Source organism: Homo sapiens, chromosome 4 (genome assembly GCF_000001405.40).
Source record: "Homo sapiens chromosome 4, GRCh38.p14 Primary Assembly".
Lineage (NCBI taxonomy): Eukaryota > Metazoa > Chordata > Mammalia > Primates > Hominidae > Homo > Homo sapiens.
Window position 1 is genome coordinate 104238092 of NC_000004.12, and position 6000 is coordinate 104244091.

Genomic DNA, 6000 nt, shown 5'->3' on the forward strand with positions numbered 1-6000 from the left:
GGGGGTCTTTAACTCAAAGACTAACTTTTTTCTACTTTTGGATTACTAATAACTCTATGTGATTATTGTATAATGCTACCTGCCCACCAGTTTCTTCCCTTGTCACTTTCTCCCTTGCTTTGTGTGCTCCAGCATCACTGACCTCTTTGGGTCCCTGCTAGGCTTCTTCACCATTGCATGTACTATTTTCTCAGGCTCTGACTGCTCCTCCCATTTTTGGCACTTAGATACTCATCCTTCGCAGTTTGCCCTGAATATTCCTTCCTTAGAAAAGCCTTATATTACACTCCATCCCACTGATCAATCTAGATCAGTCTCTACTGACATCAAAAACATCTTGTACTTCTCCTCTATACTATGTACAATAATGTAATAAAAATGGTAAATTTGTGAACACATTTGCTTAAAATATATTTTGCTGCTTAGAATGTAAGCTCAATAAGTGAAAGAAAGATGTTGACTCTACTCACCTCTGTATCTCCAAGGCCTATAATACAAAAGTTCCTCAAGAAAAATCTCTTGAGTTGAATGGAGAAAGTATGTTACTAAACTAGCCATTTTCCATTGAAAAATCAGGTAATGGGACATCCATTCCTCCATCATCATCTGCTTAAAAGACAACCCCAAAAGGCTCTTCTTTTGGAAAAGACAACCTCAAAATCGTATTGCGATTTATATTTACTATGCTAAAATAAAACAGATAAATCTAATATAAAGGAAAAATAACACCTTTAAATTTTTTTAAAAAATACTTTGCTTGTATAGATTTAAAATGGATAAATGAGTCATTACTTAAGTGGTCCTAAACATTTTGTAGGTAATTTAATATAATTTTGAGCCAGGCAATACAGTGAAAACAGATAATTTTTCTTACTTATGAGAGACATTTGTGTCTGCCAAGGTCTTCCTGGCTGGTAAGTTTTCAATAGCTTGATCTTCCCAGGAAAATGATGTAAGTGTTATCTAAACTCAAATTCAACCAATTTGAGCCATTTGTTTAGCAGTTGTAAATTTCATTTTCTGTATAGAACTTTGATAACTTCCAGTTACAGAAACATCTGATCTGCCATATGAGCATCAAATACCTGGGTAAAACAACTTTGTTCTGTAATCCCAGCACTTTGGGAGGCCGAGGCGGGTGGATCATGAGCTCAGGAGATCGAGACCATCCTGGCTAACGTGGTGAAACCCCATCTCTACTAAAAATACAAAAAATTAGCCGGGCGTGGTGGTGGGCGCCTGTGGTCCCAGCTACTCCGGAGGCTGAGGGAGGAGAATGGGGTGAACCCTGGAGGCGGAGCTTGCAGTGAGCCCAGATCGCGCCACTGCACTCCAGCCTGGGCGACAGAGTGAGACTCTGTCTCCAAACAAACAAACAAACAAAAAACAACAACAAAAAACTTTGTTATGTGCTTCAGTTGTCTGAATCTAACTACTCTTATTTCTCCCATATTAGGGAGGCTTGGGAGTTTGGTACCACATAACCAGTGGGGATGTGCATCTCTGTATGGGCATTATTTCAACGGCCATATGATAAAATTTTCTACCTGGGATTTTTGAAGTAAACATTTTTAGTGTAGTCAATAACAAGTATTTGCTCAGGACACATCCAATGACTAAATCATGAAATTTACTGAATAGAGAGCATTATCTGTAACTAAATTCTATATGGCTTTATTGTCATCCTTCCTGGCACCCTCTCAGAGAGCCACTTCCACTCTTTCTGGAAGAGGATGGTTATTGGTGAATAATGGCAAGTTGGAGTTGACAAACGTTCTTTAGTTAGAGACAGACAGGGCTCCGGGTAAGTCTTCCTGTCTGGGTTAGTTTTATGCTTTTTTCCCTGTAACTTTCTCTCTCTCTCTCTCTCTCTCTCTCTCTCTGTGTGTGTGTGTGTGTGTGTGTGTGTGTGTGTGTGAGAGAGAGAGAGAGAGAGAGATGCAGTTCATGTGTAGTGGTATGACCACTTGTTCTGGAGTCCGAGAGCCATGGTTTGATTCTAGGTCTACCTTTTTTACAAGGCGCTTGGCAGTGGGAAGATTGTCACTATGTACTTTGTTTTTCTTATTTGATCACTGTTAGTCTCTACTTATAGAACTAAATAATCTATTTGGAGTCCTTAACACAGTGCCTTGCATATATTAAGTCCTAAGGATTAGCAATGATTAGTGCACATGCTATGAATTCTGGATTTTTGTCCCTGTCACCAAGTACTCATACAATTAATCTTTTTGTCACATTATTTTACACACACACACACACACACACACACACATATATATATATATAAATTTTCCTACAATTTATCTTTCCAGTTATTCCCTTTTAAATCCAGTTATACTCTGTCCAGGCACTGCTGCTGCTTTTCTTCACACCAACCGTCTTCCAAGCTTCTCCCATTTCATTTGGTTTATCCATTACAATGTCATGTATAGGTTCACTGCGCTCATTATTACTTGCTCGTTCACTGCCATTTCTCAACCAAGGCTGTGTGCTCCACAGCCACCTAAGGCCCTTCAGCAGCCCATCCCCCAAAAGTTGCTATCTTGTCTCTTCTGGGCTCTTACACCTAAATTTCCCACCCTTAAATCTGTCTCTCTGAAACATGGGAAGAACTAATTATTTCTTACACAAAATCCCACAGTTCTGATGTGCTAGAGGAAAGGTAATTACTCTTTGGAATGTGCATATATATAATTTCTGCTCTGAAAGCATCCCAACATAACTATGGGGCGAAGTCAAAGAACTTGTTTCTCACATCATCCCTGTTACTGTTTGAGACACCAGAGAGGTATTTTCATTTAAAAATTTTCTATTATATAATACATGTTTGTTAAATATGCAGAGTCCATATAGCTACAATCTACCTGTCCTCTCAATTATTCCAAAATATTTGAAGACCTACATCATAGGGATTCCATGATGATTGACACATAAATGGTTATTATTACAGAGGCTGAAAGATAGAAATCATGCAGACTGCCTTGTTATTATCAGTAGTAGGGAGTAGTGGATTTGGTAGTGTTGGTGCTGCTCATAGTGGTGGTAGTGGTGATGGTTTTGTTGTTATTAAAAACAGAAAATCAAGGAAACATTTTTTGACTAGAGATTCATTAGAAAAGTATACATAGCTCTACTCACAGCAACTCATTCAATCCAGATGCCATTGTGACATAAAAAAGAAAATGAAAGCCACAGTTAGTTGATATTTACATACTAATTAGTAAACATATTTTCCCAAGAGTTATTTCCATACTAACCTCTAGATTCTTGGGGCTTATGGAAAATTTTAAATGTTTATGGAACAGACATGACCTCAATAGTATTCCTTTAGTGTTGCTTACCAACCATGGTTTCACTGTGGAAACCAGAAGTGATCTAAAGAATATTGAAGTTGAAAAAGTACAAGCAAGATTTGAGTATAAACTACCGTATCCTAATTGAATTTTATTTTTATTTCCTTTTCATTGTGTTCCTAGATCAGCAGATCCTGCTTATTCATTTCTTAGTGTTACATTTTACCTCATTCATTAGCTGTACTTCCTGAAGATTTTGTTCATTGATAAAAACATTTCTGGTAGTGTTAAGAGGGAATATTCCTTTCCTCAAAATATACACTTGACACTGAGTAAGCCTAATGAAAATCGACTTTTGCATCATAGAAAATAATATCATTTGATAAAATATGTAGTACACACTTTCAAATAACTCATTTTCCTCCCAGATTACCAGGAAATTAGAAATTGGATTTTTGTAGTAGACATATATTAGATACAAATTCAACCAGACTAATTCATATCTCCACCGTAGTACCTCACATTACCCATCTAGGATTTCTCTCAGAAACAAACAAAAGTTAAATTATTATTGTTCTAGAAGAGTAAGGGAATTTCAGATGGAACTGAGGAAGTGACTTTGGCTATGAATAATCCAACATCATTTAATGAGAGACATATATAAATAATAATGTATATTTAAAATTATATTGGGTAAAGGTGCAAAATATAAAACTCATTTAGTTTTGCCTTAGACCCATCAACTCTAAAATGGGTAATAACTAAATTAACTTTTATCCTGATGTATGCAGCCTATGGAGTGATTAACAATGTACCAAACAACAACAACCACCCTCATATTGAGAATTTATGTTTGCAGATATTGTAGAGGGACAGAAAGGGGCCTGCTATGCTGTCCTATCCTCTTACCAAGCCAGATAATTCAATTTCTGCTGGGGAAACCATATCTAGGCATAAAAATTTGCCTTACACATTCTGATGCTAAACCCAGCTAAAAGTTCCCAAATGAATGATTCTCAAAGGTAAGAGATTCCCCAAAGAGCAGTGTAGAAATGCAATCATAGCCATACCAACATTTGCTGAAATTTCCTAAAACCACAAACTGATGGACTTGATGAAAGCTGAATCTTTCAATAATTACATGGGGGAAATGTCTGCACAAACATAGCTGAATGCTTGTGAACAACAAAATTAGTGTATTTATGATTTTACTCTCTTTGAATCTAGGAAATTAGTATGAAATTCATAAAGTGCCATAAACTATAACACAAAATAATAGAATTCACTTTCTTTAGTATAAATGTTTGCTTACCCATTTCTAGAAGAAAATTAACAATATTTTGAGGAAAAAATTCAGAGTACAATGAAATGGAATTACAATCTTGCTCAAGCACCTCCAGTAAATTAACAAAGAACTGAACTACTGAAGCAAATATCTTTAGCTGATGAAAGTATTTGTTATCATATTCATCAGTTAGCCTCACAGACTTCAATAACTATGACATGTTTAAATATTTGGAAACAGAATTCACAGTTGGAGACTGATTTGAATAATTGTTAGATTTGCTAAATAAGTAAATAAATACAAAGAACAGTAAGAACAGACGAAATAATAAAATAAAGAGAGAAATAATTCTAAAACAAAAGAAAGGAAAACTGGAAAGGAAAGAAAAAAAAGAAAAAACAAAGTTATTAACATTAAAAGGAGAGTTTTAAATTGTGTCTTTCACTGGGATATAAAGCACAAGATAACAAATTTAGTTTTGTTTTAGACTTTTATTTTAGGTTCAGGGGTACATATGCAGGTTTGTTATATAGGTAAATTTTGTTCCACAGGGGTTTGTTATACAGATTTATTTTTTAATCCAGGTAATAAACATAGTACCCAATAGGTCGTTTTTTGATCCTCAAGCTCCTCCTACTCTCCATCCTCAGGTAGGCCTGAGTGTCTATTGTTCCCTTCTTTATGTCCATGTATACTCAATGTTTGGCTCCTACTTGTAACTGACAGCATGCACTATTTGGTTTTCTGTTCCTGCATTAATTCACTTAGGATAAAGGCCTCCAGCTCTATTCATGTTACTACAAAGGATAGGAACTCATTCTATTTTTATGGCTTCATAGTATTCCATGGTGAACATGTACCATTTTTTTTATACAGTCTACTGTTGATGGTCATTTGATTTGATCCATATATTTGCTGTTGTCAATGACAAAGCAATGAACATTGGCGTGCATGTGTCTTTATGGTAGAATGATTTATATTTCTTTGGGTAATATTTATATTCCCGGTAATTGAATTGCTGGATTGAATGCTAGTTCTGTTTGATGTTCTTTGAGAAATTGTCAAACTGCTTTCCACAGTGATTGAACTAATTTATATTCCTACTAACAGTGTATAAGCATTCTCTTTTCTCTGCAACCTCACCAGCAACTGTTACTTTTTTACTTTTTAATAATAGCCACTCTGACTGGTATAACATGGTATCTCATTGCAGGTTTGATTTGCATTTTTCTCTGATGATTAGTGATGTCGATAATTTTTTCATATTCTTGTTGGCTGCAGTATATATTCTTCTGAAAAGTGTCTGTGGATGTTCTTGGCCCAATTTTAATGGGGTTGTTTGCTTTTTGTTAATTTGAGTTGCTTATAGATTCTGGATATTAGATCTTTGATGCATACTTTACAATTTTTTTCCATTCT